The sequence below is a fragment of the Homo sapiens genome, chromosome 21, assembly GCF_000001405.40.
Source record: "Homo sapiens chromosome 21, GRCh38.p14 Primary Assembly".
Classification (NCBI taxonomy): Eukaryota; Metazoa; Chordata; class Mammalia; order Primates; family Hominidae; genus Homo; species Homo sapiens.
Window position 1 is genome coordinate 37,900,238 of NC_000021.9, and position 19,535 is coordinate 37,919,772.

The 19,535-nt window shown below is 42.4% G+C and overlaps 1 protein-coding gene across 1 annotated transcript in view; it reads right to left on the minus strand.

The window, feature by feature from the left end:
* KCNJ6 (potassium inwardly rectifying channel subfamily J member 6) overlaps nt 1-16,220 on the minus strand; it is a 309,085-nt gene extending 292,865 nt beyond the window's left edge. Inside the window, exon 1 of the mRNA NM_002240.5 lies at nt 15,647-16,220. The gene's annotated coding sequence lies outside the window, so the exon portion shown is untranslated. The remainder of the gene's footprint in view (nt 1-15,646) is intronic.

Here is a 19,535-nt window from a genome sequence, read left to right on the forward strand (position 1 = left end):
AGATGCTTATACAGCACTGTTTACAACAACAAAAAAAGGGAAAACAACCCAAATGTCCAAAATATAGGATGCTATAAATCCACAGGAAGTATGTTTTAGAATCACTCACAATGCAGCCACCACAATGATAGTCTATGTTTCGTTGACCATATCGAGTACCTACTATGTGCAGGACATCAACTAGGGAAACATCAGTGAACAAAACGAACAAAAGAACTCTACCCCTAGGAGCTTGCCTTCTATTGCAGGAGACAGAAAATAAACAAAGCCACATGCAATTTGCGTGGCGTGTTAGAAGGTAACGCATACTATGGAGGAAGTTTAATCGGGAAGGAGGAGGTGGCAGCAGAGGTGAAGGATGGGTGCCAGCACAAACTTAAAGGAGGTGGGAATGAAGGCGCTTGCTGAGAAGGGGCAATTCTGGGTGGATTTGATGGGAGAAAGGCAAATCTGGGGAAAGGACATCCAAGGCAGCAGAAGGAGTGAGTTAGGAGGCCTGGACATATGGAGCAAGTATCCATCATGTTAGAGAAACAGCATGAGGCCATCAGCAAGGTGCGTGAAGAGCAGGGAGTGAGACCCACAGTAAAAGACAATGAGCCCAAAGAAATCTGCAAACCACTCCTCATTCCTGACTTGGAGAGAAGTTGATGATGAATTATCAAATAACAATATCAGTCAACAATATATGATCCAATTTTAGTTATAAAACATAAAACATAGTAAACCCTCCTATTTACAGTCTGTGCTATATTCTCCCCCACTTCTGCCTCCCCCTTCCTTCTCTCCTTCCTGCCTTTCTTTGTTCAAAAATTTAGCTTATCTGAATGTTCACATTTTTCTACAGTGAACATACTTGTGCAACAAACAAATAAGAAAGGCTCAGGTAAAATAAATTGACAGTATTTTATTGTCTTTGGTCAAGCTGTTTGAGCACAGAATTCACCAATGTTAAAATGTGTTTACTTTTCTGAATTAGCAATAAACACTATTTGCTTTGTAGAAAGGTTAAAACAGTGGAAGAGCTCAAATTGGGAAGTTACTTTAAAGGTGAGTGTTGTCTTAGAGAAAGAGTAGGTTGGTTTCCACAAGTTAGGCTATACCCAAAATACACTTTCTCTGCATTTCTATCGGTGAAATTTCCCCAGGGTGAATCTGAAAAGTGCCAGTGTATGGAAACCACATGGAAATAGAGGGATAAAGGTAGAGAGCTCCTCCACCCCCACACATGTATCTACAGACATGTTCAAACTCATCTGTAATCATAAGAGCATTGACCTTGACTTTACCGTAAAACTTTGATGATTGAGAATGCTTCAGGACTGGAGTGTTCCAGTTTAATTTGAATTATTTGGATAATTGACTCAACCAGGAATAAACAGACGTTCAAGTTAGGATTTCAAATTCAGTTGTTAAAAATCTTTCTAAAAAGTGAGCTCCCTTCTCTATGTTGGTAAGTGTGCTGTGCTGGACACAGTTCAGTCTTTGATGATGTGGGTGCCCTGGGATGTAACTGGGTCATTATTCTAGTCTTAAACTCATTTATTTCTCCTTTAAAGTCCTAGAAGAGTAGTGTAAGTAGCATATCTGCCTTCTGAAGTAACACATATGCTTGGCATTAAAAATTATAAAATCATTAAATTGTTTATTACAGTTTTTCATATCCTCTTAGAAGCAGGGGACAGGAAAACCAGCTAACTAATTTGTTTTTTTTAATTATCCCAATTTTGTAGCTAGAAAACCTGATATAGAGAGAAGTAAAATAACTCATCTAATAGAGCTCAGTGTCTGTCAAAGCTCATCCCATAGAACCACATGACTCCAGGTTAACTCCAATCTCTCAGGCTCCTAGAAAGGAAATATGATTATGCCCAAGGGCATGAGGACTTAGGTTCTGAAGATCTTTAAGGCAACCCAGAAGAACAATGTCAATACAGGAAGACCAGAAATCAGTGACCTGGACTGTGCTTCAATTTTTATATGGCTTAGAGAAGTGAATGTTACTTCCCTTGTCCCATCTGAAACACAAATTTATTCCTTCTCCTCCATCGTTTAAATATCACATCTGAGTGACATCTAGAATGGATGTTTTTGCCAGTACAAGTTACTAAGAAAAGAAGAAAGCTCTTTCCCATGTGACATCTCCCCTCTGACCTACATAACAGTATTTTGGTGTTTTATTTCTTGTACAGTGGGTCCTCACAGCATTCATAGAAATGGCTACAATGTGCCTACATGGAATAATAGATTCTGTATTATTTTTCCAAAGATAACTATTTTCAATAGTTTTAATAGTTTCTGGTAGTTCTCAGTACACTTTAAGGATTATAGAAATATTATTCAAATATCATATATTGAATGGCCCTTCCATGAAAACATAGGGGATACAATAATGTGTAGTCTGACCCTCGTTGGCAAAGAAGTTTGCATCTGGCAGAGAGAAGAAGTGTGCAGGAAGGCACCGGCCTACAGGGTGGCTGCAGAAGAAACCCCACAGACAGTGCCCATGGTGAGAAGATAAAAGCTCAAGCCTGAGAACATGACTTTGCATTTTGGTGGCATTTTCAAATATACTTTTAATTGACATCTCAAATTCAATGACCTGGACATCTAACTCAAGAAGCCACCTAGTTTATTGTTTTGATTTCTCTGACATGACAGCATATAAATTACCCTTCCTTCCTTTTAAAACAATGCCAGGGTGTGAGAACCTCTGTTTTCAGCAAGTCCCTCTTGCACATATCTTAAGCCCATTTTTTTTCCTCTCTCTTTATTAGAAACAATTGTCCCTTCCTCTCCATGCTGTCTGCGATTTGTTCTCAGGGGCTAAGAGCTTCAGTGTTCCTACTCAGTGTTTTCTCTTTCTTTGCCAACTCAGTGAGACCCCTCTTGCCTTTTCTCATGATATGATTTGGCTGTATCCCCACCCAAATCCCACCTTGAATTGTAATAATCCCCATGTGTCAAGGGTGGGGCCAGGTGGAGATAACTGAATCATGGGGGTAGTTTCTCCCTACTGTCTCATGGTAGTGAATAAGTCTCATGAGATCTGATGGTTTTATAAAGAGGCATTCCCCCGCACAAGCTCTCTTGCCTGTCACCATGTAAGATGTGCCTTTGCTCTTCTTTCATCTTCCACCATGATTGTGAGGCCTCCCCAGCCATATGCAACTGTGAGTCCACTAAACCTCTTTCCTTTATAAATCACCCAGTCTCAGGTATGTCTTTGTTAGCAGCATGAGAATGGACTAATATGTAATGCAATTGGCCATCTTATGGAATCTTAGGGTGCTTTAAGGGGACAGAGTGATTGGATCTGTTTTGTGGTTGGAATATGAAGCACAGATGACTCAATCAGATTACCGGTGTCTGAAATGACATGGGAAGAAGCCAGGACAGACACACAGGGCTCCTCACTCTATTTATCACTCTCCATGTATAAGTCTTGCCTTATTTTAGCAATATCAATAGTTCCTCTGGAAATTAAAAACAAAACAAAACAAAACAAAAAAAAACGAAGAAGCAACTTGAGTCCAGATTCTTTACCTGAAGAAAGAAATGAACTGCAACAATACTTGTACATTGCAAGGGCTCAAGTAGTCAAATGAGGTTATGATTTTTCACCAGGACACCCAGGGTCTGTCTTTAGTGCTAACAGCCTCCTGACACCTATTTTGTAATAAAAGGACAATTTACTTTATATTGGTAGAGAGTAACCAAAAAACATCCAGATATTGTTGAGTAACTGATCATTTTAAGAAAACCTTATTAATGCAATGAAAATATTGTGGGTTTATTTGAAAATGGCTGGTGGGGTTTAATTAAATTCTCCTATCCCACAACAGTTTTTTGTGTTGCTGAAACCACAATGTGATCCTTTCTATTAGCTGCTCTAAAGTCCAGGTTTCACACTTTTTGTGGGTGGGCTATTGTGAATGACTTTGGTATTGTTTGGGTGATTTATAACCCAAGGATTTTCAGGTGAAATATACCTTCTGATGCTGGATCCCATGTTCTAGCTATTATCCCAGTGGCCAAGATAACCACTTTGTACTTCCCATGAGAGCTGAATCTCACAAAAGACTCAGCCTTGCTAACTTAAAATAAACTCCACTTATGCACACGACAGGAATAGAGAAGACTATCTCAGTGGTGCAAGCCAAATAAACAATTTCCCTGAAAAATAAAATTCATTGACAGCAAAGTATTTTTGTTCATTTTTTTTTGGTATCACTTTGGGGTCTTGAAAAAAAATTATCTTCACTTACTTAGAAGTTCTATACTGACCCACACTTATCACTATACTGAAGTAGTGGGCTGTGCCATAAAGGTTAAGTTCCACATAAACCCCATTTTATTTTTTTACTATAGACTCCTTGTTTTCATGGGGTCTCCATTCATGCTGTTTGGGAGCCAGGCTAAATTCCCAGTGACTTCTATCAAAGCATAAGTGAGTTTTACTTCATGGGCAGAGAGAAGGTTTGTAGTTTGACAGATATGGCTGAATGACTAGGAGATGAACATCAAGCAACATTGTTTTTGCACAGGAGAAAAAAAGGAGTCTTGTCTACTCTCTGCTCCAGATCACAAAATAAAATGGTCTCATCATATTCAGGATGAACAAGTTTCCCATTCACAGCAAATCCCCAAAAACATGCTCTTAAACTCTGCCAGCCAAAACCTTGCACATGAAAGTGACAAGACACCACAGCCCCTATCTGGCTGCTGCAGCAGCTCACCTAGCTCTCTGCCCAGCACCGCTATTTATTCACTGGAACAACCTCAACACTCTGCGCCTGGACTGCAGCCACGTGCGCTCCCTCTGGCCCATGCAGTGTGGTGTGAGAGCTTTCTTTGGGTGGAATCCATCATCAGCCTGCTCTCTTGGCTCATGAGTGATTATCTGCTCTCAGCACCACTGATGACACTAAAGCAGGTCCATTTTTCTATTACTCATTTACTGCTTCACACATGCTTAGGGCTTCTTGCCTTCTGATCAGTGTCCTAGCTGTGTGTCCTAATCCCAGTATTTAACTCTGTCTTGCTCATGACTGCCAGATTAAAATTCCTGTATTTCCTCCCACTTGCCCCCAATCAAAGCAGTCACTTTTCCAAGAGCTATGAGCTCATGTACCATGCCGATGCGTGGCGCTCTGATTTCCATGGTGTGGTAGACCATACCCCTGCCTGATCAATCCTCATTGCCAATACACCCTATATATATGTAATGGCAAAACCGCAATTACTTTTGCACCAACCTATAGGTGGGTTCCTCATAGGAAAGCCCTCTTTCTCCTGGGAAAACCTTACTAAGCACCAAAACGCTACTGTTCTTCCAAGACTCCTTCACATTTCCCCACATCCCTGGATGTTTTCTGCAGATACCAGCCCTTATTAATGTTCTCCTCCCTCACTTAAACTCTAGCACCATTCTCTTGTGTAATGCTATGCTTCTTTGTGTACATTATTGTTTCATCAATACTCTCATTTTCTAAGTTTAAGGCCTCTGGGAACTGAAGTCAGGGCATTTTTTTCTCTATGTCCCCTTGTCTTCTTTAGGTAGTAGGTACTTAGCAGAGATTTGTCAACTGACTAACCCAAGAAGCTAAGACAATTCTGGACATAGCTATGAAGCGCCAATTTCTGGCAATATGAAGGTGGTCAGGAGATGTTTAGAATGAAAGTAAATGTTATATAGTTATAACTCTTCCTCACTTGACTGCATGAAGGTCTGCTGTGATAAGCCCTCTATTCAATTTTCTTAATATGGCTTTTCTCAAGAGTACAACATTCTTATTCACTGATAGCATCTTTTATTTAAAGGATAATAAATGAGACTATTAATTTTGAAAAGAACAAATAAACTTCAGGATGGATTAACTATAATTCCAAAATACTAAGCAGTTTATTTAAATAACCTGCATAACAGAGAAGCCCTTGCTTTGTGCTCATAATCTTTGCAACTTAGTGTGATCATGAGTATTTTTTCTGATGGACCAAAAGCTTTTTGTTTTTGCTGTTTTTCCCCCCTAGACACTGAGTCCAGGTTAAATCTGCCTCTGCAGTGGGCATTCTGGCATTCCATTTCTAGTTGTGACCCTACCTGGCTCTTGCATGAGCCTGGACTTGGAGGTCTCTATCGTGGGAAGAAGGCTGTGAGAAGGGGCATTGTGTCTGGGTTCCTCCTTAAAGCAGATCTGAGGAAAACCTAAGCCAGTAGCTCCCACCCTTTAGAGTGCATCAGAATCCCTGGAGGGGATGGGCAGATGATTGGCCCTGTCCTCAGGGTTCCTGATCCAGTAGATCGGGGGGTGAGCTTGAGAATTTGCATTTGTAGCCAGCTCCCTGGTGATGCTGCTGCTGGTTCAGGGACACACTATGGGAACCACTGACCTCAGCTGACTTTCATCAGCTCTGATGCCTCCTTTTGTCCACAGAGACCCCCAACAGTGGCCAGTCAAGGAGACATGTGGAGTGTGGGCTTGGGCCCAACACTCCTTGAGTGCTGATTAAAAAAGAGGGCCACCTAATGCGGCCTCTCTTCCAATGACAACACATAATGTCATAGGTTCTTTATTTGCCGTCCTCTTTCTGCCCTCTCTTTATATGCTTTACTACTGTGGGCCCAGCCACCCCAGGAGGGCTAATGAAAATTTAAGAGGGTGAATATGTTTAGGGTATTGACTGGTGAGACCTTGGGAGACAGCTGAAGAGGAAGGAATCTACCCCATTCGTTGCCATTATTGAAACTAGATTTCTTGAGAGGAGGAATTATATGTTAGTAGCACTATATTTTGCACGTTAGAGATGTCTAAAAATCTGAAGTGTGCTCTGCCTAACTCGTCATGGAGTCTTGGCTCTGAAAATGTTGTAAGGTGATGCAAAAACCTCCGAAGAGAGATTTCATTCCTTGTCTTTTGACTGAAGGTAGTGTGTTGACAACAAAAAGCAAGGGTAAAGCTTTTCCATGAGCAGTGAGTCCTGTACCCTTCCTCTTAGTCATGTGATGCTGCTTAGTCATATGATTACTGCATTCCAGACCTGCTCTCATAGACACAAGGTTCGTGTAGGGACTGAGATATCATTTTTGGTTAAATGTGATTCATTTTTTTTATAGAGAAATGATGGCTCCCTCAGTCATAAAGCAATGGCCCCATAGAGTGGTGAGGTCCAGTCTGATTTGTTGACTGAGCCTGAAGGGCATCGCTTCTCTCATAGCCATTAGAAGTGCTCTGTGTTGCAGAGACTTTGAAATACATACACTCCAACCCCAGTTCCTAGCTCTCTCAGCTTCTTTATGCTTCTAGTGACAAAGAATTCAGAGCTGTGTAAATGCAGAGAAGACAGATCACATTACCTCTGCCCCGCTCTGACTACTGAAAATGCTTTCTTATATTGAACCAAAATATGTCACTTTGTAGCTTCCACTGCTGGGTCCCACTTTTATCCCTTAGAGCCCAGCAGAACAATTATAATCCTTCCTTCATCTTCAAATATCAAGATACCTGAAAACAACTATCATGCCTCCTCCCCCACATATTCTCCAGGGAAAACACTCCTAATTCTTTCATCTACTCTAATATTACATGGTTTGGACTCAGGTACTGTCCTGCCTATTCCCTTCTGCACATAGATTGTTGGATTATATCCCTTTTAAATTGAAATGATTGAATGTGGCAGTGAAATAAATCCTGTCCTCAAAAACATTCTCTTCATTAAACAGAAGTTCCACTATGAGACATTATTTACTTTGGAATGGCAAGATATTTGAAGAGGTCAAGAGTTTTCTAATCCAGTATTACTGCCCCATGGAAGGATTAACATGCATTACTGGTATTTACTGTTTCATTTTGATAATGTTTTCCCCTGCATGAATGTATGTGGCTGTGATATCTGAGTTAGGGAAATGGAAACGATGTAAGAGAACCGGAAGTATTATGGATCACCACTCTGTTTCTTCTGGTTCTTCCTCTCATAGTCTTCTCAGATATTTCTCCCTGACATTTCTCTTTTCTAGGTTGTAAGTTTGGCATTAAAGCTGTTCTTTTGCTTCTAGTGAAAAGGTATGGAACTTAGTTTCCAAGTTTTCTCCTTGAGGGAAGCAGAGGTTCTCAAACACTGCTTACAAATTACATGGTCTATTTTCAGGAAAACAATGACTATTAGTAGACTAATTCAACCTAAACTTACAGCATGTATCTAGCCTATGGACATTTAGGGGATTTAAAACAAAATGCAAATTGCTAGTCAACAGCAAGTGCCAGATATTAGAAGACAGCATCTAATTCTTCAGCATTCTTAGACACAATGTGGGTGTAATTGTCAAGATTAGAACATTGCTTTTGAGCATGGGTTGTGAAGTTGGCTTTTCTCCTTTGTGTCTACTTTAACAGATCAGCTAACAGAAATCAAACAATATGTATTTGCATCTCTTTTGTTAAGAATCATCTACACCTACTCCAAAAGTCAACATATCCCAACTAATTTATTTTAAAAAAATACACCACTAAAGAATGATTCAAGGGCACCAGGAAATATTGTCTCTACCAGGAATCTTTTCACCACTGGGACAAATCATTTCCTCTGCCTTACTCTATCCTGATTCACATTAGCTGTATTTCTTTGCTGCCAGACATTTATATCGGGCATGCATACCAAAGACTCCAGTGTGTTCACCCTACCAGTTTCCCTCCTCCTGGATATAGAGCTGAACTACAATTTGCAGCTGCTCTTGCAGTTAGGTATGACCATAGAATATGAATAGGAGTGATATACATTACTTCTAGGCCCGGATCATTAAAATCTTCTACATAATCATCTACTCTCCCTCTTTCCTTGTCTGCTAGTTGGATATCACCACTCAGCAGATCTTAGAAGCCATGTACTAAAGATGACAAAGTGTCCCTCAGCCTGGGTCCTTGTACGGCATCAACCAATTAGATTTATGTGAAAGAAATCTTCTATTTTGTTAAATTAGTGAGATTTAGATATTTTCTGTTTCAAGAACTTTCTAATTAATACAGTATACACAGGCTCATCAAGAACTGAAGTTAATGCCACATTGCAATAAATGAATAAAAACATCTGCTATTTTTAAAGTGCCTACTTTGTGCTGGACACTGCACAAAGAACTTTTTTTTTTTTTTTGGAGACAGAGTCTCCCTCTCACCCAGGCTGGAGTGCAGTGGTGTGATCTCAGCTCACTGCAACATCTGCCTCCTGGGTTCAAGCAATTCTTGTGCCTCAGCCTCCTGAGTAGCTGGGACTACAGGCATGTGCCTCCACACCTGGCTGATTTTTGTATTTTTAGTAGAGATGGGGTTTTGCCACTTTGGCCAGGCTGGTCTCAAGTCATCTCCTGGCCTCAAGGGATCCACCTGACTCGGCCTCCTAAAGTGCTGGGATTATAGGTGTAAGCCACCGCTCCTGGCCTGTGCTAAGAACTTTACTTACATTATCACATGAATCCTCATAACATCTCTGAGGTATATGTTGTTATTATTACTCTTATTGTTATTATTTTATGATAGGGAAAGCAAGGCATAAAGTTGATTAAGGTCACATAGTTAGCATAGTGGATTATATTATTGCCTCCAATTATTCTCTTCCCTCTCTGAAAGATTAGATGTCTCTACCTGTTGCTGCACGGCTTGCAGTGCTTCACTGTGGGAGAAATATACATCTCCTTCCCATTGATCATTGACACTGATGTGACATGTGAATTGTCCGGTCAATGGAATGTGAGTGGATAACTTGTGCCATGTCTGAGCAGAAATGTTAAGGGCCATTGCTTAACTTGGGAGTCTCCTTTTCCTCTGATACTGGGATAGAGTGTTCCAGACCAATTCTTGATCTTGAATTCCAGAATGAAGTCACAGGAGCAGAGCCACAGCTGACCAGCAGAGGCATAGCGCTCCAGAGAATAATACGCCTTTGTTTTGTAAGCCACTGAGATGCTGGGGTTGCTGTTACTGCCCCAAACTTGGCAAAAATGGACAGATACACCTAGACCTTGATGCAGATTCAGTTAGTAAGAAACACCGGAGCCTGTGCTCTTAATCACGGAGCAACACCGCCTACCAAGCACATTGTCAAACTTGCACAAGTTCCTGCTAGATGATACAAGAGAAATTTAAAGCATCATGAAAAAAATCAATTCTTATCCTGGATAAGAAAAAAGTAGATGTCTGTAAGTTTAAAGAGGAAACTGCCACAGGATTTAAACTTAATTTATAGATATGTCTCTCACATTGCATATAATACCTTCAGATTTAGTCCCACAGAACAGTTGTTGGCAAGGACATGGATCTTTTTAGCCACAGATGCACTTTCTGGTTCCTTTTGTAAGGATTTCATGTCGGAAACCACATCTCTGTGACTGGGAATAAGACCGGTGATACATGTTAGCCAAAATCTATTCACTAAAAGAATCACCAGTACTGTATGATTCCTGGTCCTAAGCACAGCCATACAGAAAAAATGAGAAGCATGAGACTCAAGGAGATAATGGGTTTAATCTGACTTGGATACATTTGTATAGACATAAATTAGTCACTTGGTTAAAATTTAGGGTTAACTTTACACATTGTAATTGGGAAAATTGATTGATGGCCTTACTGCATTCCATATAAAATCAGATCTGAATGACCATTTGAACATTGCACACTGCACAAAATCATTCTCTGAGGTTTTGTTTAAACAATGATTCAATTTAGTAACAAATAAATAAATGAATATTTACAACTGATTAGCAGGTATGATTAGATCAAAGCTATAGTTTAGAGAGGATACAGACTCTTCTTTTAATGATGAGACCGCTCTTTGAGGAAAATAATTTCACTATTATTTAATGTTATTAAAATGATAGCAAGTATATGTATATTCTAGTACTTTGCCAGAGGAAATTCAGAATACCATTAGAGCACTAACTGCAATTGTGATTATCTCTTCTTTTTATTGGAGCCTAATTATTTCTAGAAATAATTATTTAAAATGCACTTCAAAATGTATTTTTATCCTAAACAGCTACATTTTATTCTTCTATCTCTCCAAATACTTTCACTAAAATTAAAAAGAAAACTAACTCAACAAAAGTGTTTTGATGATTTTTCAACTTAACTGCCAATTTCCCCCTTACTGGTATTACCAAAGTTAATAATTTTGTAAAACTCCAGAGTGAATCAATTATCTTTTGGTACTTAAATGCCAATTATTGAAGATAAAATGAAGAAACAAGAAATGCCATCTCAATAAGCTATAAATCCAAATTCACTGAATTTAAACATCTTAATTCCACCAAACTTAAAGTTCTAATACAATGAACTTAGAAAAACCAACCTCACTTTGAAAAGTATTGTCAGTTTAAAGCTGGTAGCAATAAGTAACTGCCTTTTCCCCTCACTTTCTTCTTTCCTCCTACTCTGCCTATTTCTGGTCCATTTCCATTTCCATATTACTTACATATCATTTGATAAAGGAAGAACTGGTGAAAAAGAGAAGAGCTTCACCTTATCTGCCTGCCTTTCCATAAAGAGCATTTATCTTGTTTTCATTAAGGTTTACATGGTCAACATTAAACCCTTGAGAACAGCAACATTTTCTACCTGTGAAAATCAGTGAATGGGGTTAAGATTCCATAAGGGTATTTTATTTTTAATCTCCAATGAATTTTTTCTATAACTTCTTAAATAACTATTCTAATTTTTTTCCCTATAAAGTAGAGGTAGACTGAGATGATAGGGAGGAATATGAGACTGAGTTAAAAGCCCTTCTATATTCTCAAGGAAAATAGTTCATGTAAGTCCTATGTATTAAATAAAGACCTGTCTCACACAAAGGAAAACATACTAATGTTTAGGCAATATCTAGATGAGGTAACTATTGTTTAGGCAATACCTAGAAGAGGTATCAAAATGATTTTTTAAAATAGCAAAATGGAACCAAGTGAATGGGGGCGAATTTTCACAAGTTGCTCTCCTTAACAAATCTTACTTGAAATGAGTAAACCAATTATTTTGGAGTATGCTATTGACTGAAAAGGGCATAGTGACACTTTGTTAATCAATTAGCCACCTAGGAAGAAAGCAAGTCATAGTTCGGTGAATAAGCACTGAATATGTGAGCATGGAAACTACCAGAAGTAAAGATTATTGACTGAACAATTTCATATACCTAGATTATTGACACCACCCCCCTTTTTAATTTATTAGAGAAATTGAACTTTAGAACTCAGAAATACATTACTTTGTTTATCTAACAGTCTATATTCTCGTATAGCTTCATCCTCATAATGAACGTCTACTTCCCTTCTGCTGATAATGTCAGATGGAACAAGGCCAAGGAACAGCTGCGTTGTTTAATACTCCACGTGTCACTTCTTCTGTCTACTTTAGGTAGCAACCTTTTCATAAACTAAATTATGGATAAACTTGTCAATACCTATCAGGAACTGAAATGTAAGAAATAGTGTAATAACTCATCCTTTTGCTTAGGTTTGAAATAGATTGCTCTGTCTTCACTAGCAATCATTTGAAAAGACTGGAAGGTAGAAACACACTGCTTTAACCACATCCTGAGTGCTCAGCATGCAATATCTTTAGAAACAACATGTCACACTTGGAAAGCCCAGCAAGGAAAACCAGGATCATATCTTGTTTACCATTAAAAATAACAAACCAGAACCAGCTCAAGACCTCATGCACAAGTGCATCCACAAAACAGGAAAGCAGCCAGGGATATTGTTGAAGCTTTATCAACATTTCCAACCAGTTGCCAAACCTTGACTGGGCTCTGCAATTCAAAGTATACCTTGTAACACCTGGATGGCACTCTGACAGGCATTCTATTTCAAATATGACTGTCACCTTCCTGTATTATTTTTCCTCTTCATATCAGTGACAGTTGTGGTGGTGGGGGACCTACTACCAAGGATGAGAGCAGGGCAAAGACCAGCTTCTCGTAAAGTGAGAGCAGAAGGGCTTGATGGACTTACCTGTTTTCCCTGTATGAATGTTGAAATGGAACTTGAATGGTAATAAATCCTCCCCTCCTGCAGTTTCTTCCTTGTTTGTATTAAGAGAAGTGACTCCTCTCGGTTTCCTACGACTGCAACCTAGGAAATGTAGCCACCTTGCTCACACGCAGGCTTGAAGATGTGATCACTGGCTCTCATCTTGCTAACAAACTCTCTCTCCTTTTCGGAAGCTCACCAGTGTTGTTTTGATTCCTTCCAGTTCTAGACCGAGAGGAAACTATATCTCCACCCTCTTCAGTCCTAGGACCCTTAGAAAGAATTTGGCTGGGCCGGATACGGTGGCTCACGCCTGTAATCCCAGCACTCTGGGAGGCTGAGGCAGGCGGATCACAACGTCATGAGTTCGAGACCAGCCTGACCAACATGGTGAAACCCCGTCTCTACTAAAAATACAAAAATTAGCCAGGTGTTGTGGTGTGCGCCTGTAATCCCAGCTACTCAGGAGGCTGAGGTAGGAGAATCGCTTGAAACCGGGACGCAGAGGTTGCAGTGAGCCGAGATCGAGCCACTGCACTCTAGCCTGGGTGACACAGCGAGACTCCGTCTAAAAAAGAAAGAAAGAAATAACAAACTTGGTTGGCTGGCCTCTCGCTGACCAGGGTGCTTCCACAGCTCCCTTCTGCCATCTATGCCCAACAAAAAGTTAAAGAGAAGAGCGTGAGAGGGCAAGGGATGCATGCTTTTGAAAGCCAAAGGGACTCAGCTGAAACTAGCAACCCTCGTCAGAGGCGGATCGGGGTGTGTGTGTGTGTGTGTGTGTGTGTGTGTGTGTGTGTGTGTCTGTGCGCGCGCGCGTCCTTTTTCTCCCCCTGAGGACAGAATCCTGTCTCCACTCTCAGTTCAGCTCAGGTCTTTCCCTGTCCCAGTGTTCTTGATTCTGAATAGGTCCTCTGATGCACCGCCATGCATAAAATGGATGATTTGCAAGCTTCTTTGCCTCACGTAATTCCGTGGGTAATTTGATATCCAGATTCTGCACGAGCCAAAGACTCATTTATTTATAGAAAGTGATTGACCTCCAGCGACCAAAGGAGTGGGTACTGCTTGCTGGGGGCTGCAGACAGGTGAGGCTTCACCCTCGGCGCCTGGGCTCTGGCCTTGGTGCTGAATCCGGAACCCGCTGAGGAACCACCACCTCGGCGGCCCCCAGGCAACTTTCGGGAGGTTTCAGGGGCACCCGGCCAGCTCTGGGCGCCCTCTCGAGCGTCGCCGTCAGGGAGTTGGGCACAACCGATGCCCTGGGACCCGCCACAGGGCACGCGGCTGGCGTATTCCTTTGCCTGGAGCCGGGAAAGTTTTGTCCAATTTTTTTCCCCTATAACTGGAGCTGCGGTCTCCCCTCCCACCTGGGTCGCCATGGAGACTCGAGCTCTTTTTCTTTCTCCAGGCAAAATGGGCGAAGCTCAGTTAGCTCAGCCCTGACTGTAGCAAGCCCTTTTTTCTCCCTAAGCAGTTCCTGGGCATCACCCTTTTCCGTTTCTTTTTTTCAGCAAAAGAAAGGCAGGCAGGGAACAGGGCTAGCAGGATGTGGCATTGCTCCCTGTACCGTAGGGCTCCCCGGGACCGACAGACTTTGGATAACAGCAGTTGGGAAACACTCTAAACATATAATACATCTCCAACTCCCAAACACTGGAGTTGTGGGGTTTTTTTTTTTTTCTCTTCCTTTTTTTGGGGGTTGGAGGCGGAATTCTTTGGAAAATTCTGGTATTTTGTTTCTCCACTAACCTCACCCTCTGTGGCTGTTTCTATTAAGATATATTTTCCCCCTGACAATCTCTCCATATTGCACCTAGTACAACAGATGTACCTGTGGATCCACTGGGCTTTTATTGGGTTTTGGGAATACTGATGTTATTTCACTTAAAAACTAATCCAAGCTTAATGTTTTGATGAAAATGAAAATATATCCACAGGGAAGCAAATATCCACAGCCACCCAGTCCTCTAAATGCCACACACATCTCATTTTATCTAAAGTGTTTTTTCTTCCCTTCCAATTACAAAATAATTCAGTTTACTCCTAGGAAGATCTTCCTATTCACTGTTTTTAGTCATGCTAGCACATCTTCGGTTTTAAGGATAGAGAACAGTTAGGAGTTACAGTATTCTGTTTCCCATTCTCCGCATGTTTCTCCCCAACCCTCACTTTTCCTCCCTTTCGTGTTGTCTCCTCTCCTCTCCATGCAAAGCAGAACAAGAAGACTGCCTTCCACAAAGACAATAGGCTTTTCCCAACTGTAAATGACTACATCACAAGCCGCACCTGTCAGTTAATCAGTGCATTTAAGTCTTTGCCAGCGGATGTTGAAATGATGTCTGCAATAACTGACTGGGTTTCTGCGAGCCCAGGGATGCAGACCCCTCCTTCCCCCGCCCCCCGTGCGAGTTTCAGTCGCTAATGAAAACCGTATGAAACAGATTCCCCTTCTGTTATGTAACCGGCTTCTCCCTCGCCTTTCGGCTGACTTGGGCACAATGTTTCTCATGAGAGTGGAGATGCCTGCGGCGACGGCGGAGCTGGGGAAGGGGACGCGGGGACCCGAGAGCACGGAACGCCTCGCCCAGGTGGACGCCAGCTCCTCGCCTGCGAGCAGCTCAGCGCACCGCTTACCTGGCTGCGGACGGGGTGGCTTCACTCAATCATGATCTCCTCTCTTGAAACGGAGCAAGACTGAACAATTCACTACACGACGGATGGCGAGGGAAGGAAATGCAAAAAAGAAAAGGAAAAGAAAAAAACTGGAATCAGATGGTCAAATTTCACATCAGCACCGAGAGGCTGTTAGGAGACTCCATTCTGCTCGCGGCTGCTCCGGCTCCAGGTCCGGCTTCCCGGCGTCCGCGGGTCTCCACCCCTCCGCCCGCCCAGCCTCTCCAGCCAGGTGCGGCCGTCTCCGGACTGGCTCCCTCTGGCCGAGCGCGGAGAGCAGGGCTGGGCGCTGGGGCCAAGGGAGGGGCGGAGGGGCGCGCGTTTGGGCAGGGACGGGGGAGGGAGACTGGGTGGAATGAAGTGGGGAAAGATAAGAGTGGCAGAAGAAAAAAAAAATCCCCGGTTAGGAGAAAAGTGGTGGACCACGCAGAGAGACGTCATGAAATCCGCAGATTCAATGAATGCTACTCAATTCCAGCCGACTGGCTGAGCCCCGCTGGCAGCGCACGAAGCGACGCGGCTCCGAGATAAAAGCGAGTGCAGCGCCGCGTGCTGGGGAAAAAGCCGCACAGCGCCGGCGCGGTCCGGGAGGAAGGGGCGGGGGCGAGCAGGACAGAGCCACAGACCCAGAGACGCCCACCCCGCCGCCCATGCCAGCTAGCGTGTCAGCGCGTCGAGGACCGGGCTTGGTGGGGGCGGGCTGGGCACAAACCAACGTGCATCCCCCGCCACTGGAAACGTGGGTGCTCCATGCTGGGGGAATCTTTTGGGTTTCGGTCCCCGACCCCCCAGTCCCAACCTTTCTCCCAGTGCCACTAAGTAAGTTATTCCCGGAGAAACGCCTGGAAAGCAGGAAAGAGCCGAAGCTCGGGGAGCAGTTTTGTCTGCTGGTTGTAGGGGTTCGGCTTTTAGGGTTTTGTGAGATAAGGAAAAAGAGGCTCTGGGCACTGCCTCCCACCGGGCTGAAATCCGTGAGAGGCAGCCCCGGCGCGGGAGCCGGAGCCTGCACCGCCCAGAGGGGGCGCAGCGAGCGGCCGGGACGGAGGGGAGGGGCCCTATCCCTGAGCTTTGCTTGCACCTGGTGGCGCCCCAGCCTGCTGCCCCATTCAGTCCCTTCTGTCCTGTCCACTGCAACTGGGACCTGGTCCCGGCTGCTGCATCATCACCCCATCCTTATATGATGTCTCTGGGGTCACTGGAGACAAAGAATGGCCTTTTCCAAGAATGACCCAGGCTGCCTTCAAAGTTGAATTTGTCAGGATAAGCCCCTTAGACAAAGGTCTACTCCACTCTTTGAATCTAACTTGCTTTGTGCTGTTATTCCAGGGGCCCCTCATAGTGCTCCCCTCTTGCACCCCCTCTTTTTCTTATGGTCATCAAAAACAATGGTTCTACATTTCCAAAGTCTTCCCATAAATTGCTTCTACCTATGAACAGAACTCTCTTTTATGCTGTCTTTTTCCTAGGGATGAATGGATTGACAAATTGTAAGAGTAGCGAATACCATTGGCTAGTAATTTTATAATGGCCCTTTCAATAACTGGCTATTCTTGTGCTGCTTTATGAAGTGGCTTTCCTTCCACAAGGCACAGAATCTCTACCTCAAAGAAGGTGACCTTATTTTAGAGAGAAGGCTTACGGAAACCTCTTATTTCCAAGATTATTTTATTCTACATACATACATTTTAATTACCTAGCAATTCAGGTCCCCTCAAGAATGCTGTCTGCCCTCTAAAAATGACTGTAATATGGAGAGGTGTTTGTGTCAATTTGCATCCAAAGTCATGTAAAAGTCAACCGTACACACGGCCTGTGAGCTTGTATTTGCTGTTGATTTTCCCTAAGAGGTTGTAATCTGACTTGCTATTACTTCTGAGTCATATATCCCATATACAGAAGATATGAGTATGTGTAATATCTGTAGTATGTGTAATACGTGCTCCACAATGCCTGCTGGATCTAGTGATAGTGTTACAAATAAACAAAGAACAACTGAACCAAATAATCCCTGAGAGACCAGGAATACAAATGCAAGATGCAGGATTTCGGTGGACACAGCCTTAGAACATTAAAAGAACAACCCATGTTGACTATAGTTGTGTAAAGGGCATTCTGTTTAATCTGTGAAGCTGCTATGGGTATGCCTGCTAATTTTGATGATATATACTTTTACCAGTAGAATGATTTCACAAAGTATCTTTCTTACAAGATATTAGACTAAATAAGAAAGTCAAGAGTTGGAAGTAACCTATTTGTCTCCTTCAAATACTTTGAAAACTCCCCTACTTGAAACAGCTGCCGGGGTGATGTGGGCAATAGCACTTTGTGAATGGCATAAGAGCACGTGTTGAATGAGATGGATCCCATTAACACAGCCTGGGATTTGATAAACACCAGAGACAAGAGCAATTGGCTTAACTGAATTCATTCATTTATTCCGTAGAGTTCTGATAAAGTGATCTGCATGGGTGTAACTAAGAGACTGCAGCCACATCTGAAAATCAGGCGAGCTGTGCTTCAGAGCTGCAAATTGTGGCTCCTCTGAGCTCCTGAGAGCCTGGTCTCTCAAACTACATTGTGTTTAGCTTGTCTGAAATCTCACTTATATATCTATTTTATGATTTCAGGTGAAGGCAAGGCCTGGGGGAGAAGATCTTTCAGGGTAAATCAGTGCTCCAAATCTCACAGTGACTTTTATAATTGATTGATTATGTCATACAGATGAGACTGGTTTGTCTCCCACATATAAAGCTGTAATGGAGACTTATTAGCTAGTAAAATTAACAAACTGAATTATCTTGACGGGCTGTCATTTGTTTTGGGTAATCTTGTTTTTCTCTGTCATTGATTGCGGCAATTTATAAACCATTCTATCTTCTTGGCCCATGTGTAGATCTGGCCTTGCCTTAGACAGGCTGACACCAGAACTAAGATGGTTGGGAGTTTTTGGTCTCCACCCTTGGGCCAGTACTTGTTTTAGATTTAAGACCTTAGCTGTTGTGGGTCTAACTATTAAGAGACCTAGTTCTTTTTCAGTTTCACTCCCCTGCCTGCTTTCTCCACAAAAACCCTACCACAGATAAACAATATATTTAAAATGCAGAGATGGGAACATAAATTTTAAAAAATTTATTTTGTCTATAAAAGGACATCTTAAAGAGTATCAAGAGATAAGTGTTAAAATTATTCTATTTTACATTTGTACTTCCAGTGTACTGAATGTGATATAGGAGTTAAGAAGCAATTACTTAGGCAGATAGTAAGGGTATGGGAGTCCTAGGTAAGGCTTTTCTTTTTAATGAAAATCAGCCCCAAATAATTTTCTAAGAGAGCAAGCAGCCTGCAAGCTGGGAGCTTGCACAGGTGAATGCGGGCAGGAACTAAGGACTAAAGATGTTAAATATGGCGGTCCCATCTTCCCGTCTCTGTTAGCCACGTGTACTGTAAACGAGCAGACAAGATGGTGCCAATCAACTGGAAAGTCCATTTGCATAAGAAGATTAGGGTGGGGCAACTAGCCTTCCCAGCACACTATGTAGACATCATACCTGAGTGAACCAACCTGTGAGCCCTCTGTAAATCAGACACCGCCTTCTCCAGCCTGCGTATAAAATCTGCTGCGGTCCTCTACCTTCTCCCTTTTCCACGTGTCTCTTGCTCGTGAGGAGCTGCTCTCCCCTCCTCTCTCCTTTCTTCTATTACACTTTCTGCTCCTTAACCCACTCACCTGTGTCTGTGTGCCGAATTCTTTCTCAGTGCATGACAATGAACCCCAGGGTATATACCACAGACAGCAGTAGCCACTTCAGATGGATTTCATTCATGTCTCTTATTTAGGGAATATCTGTAA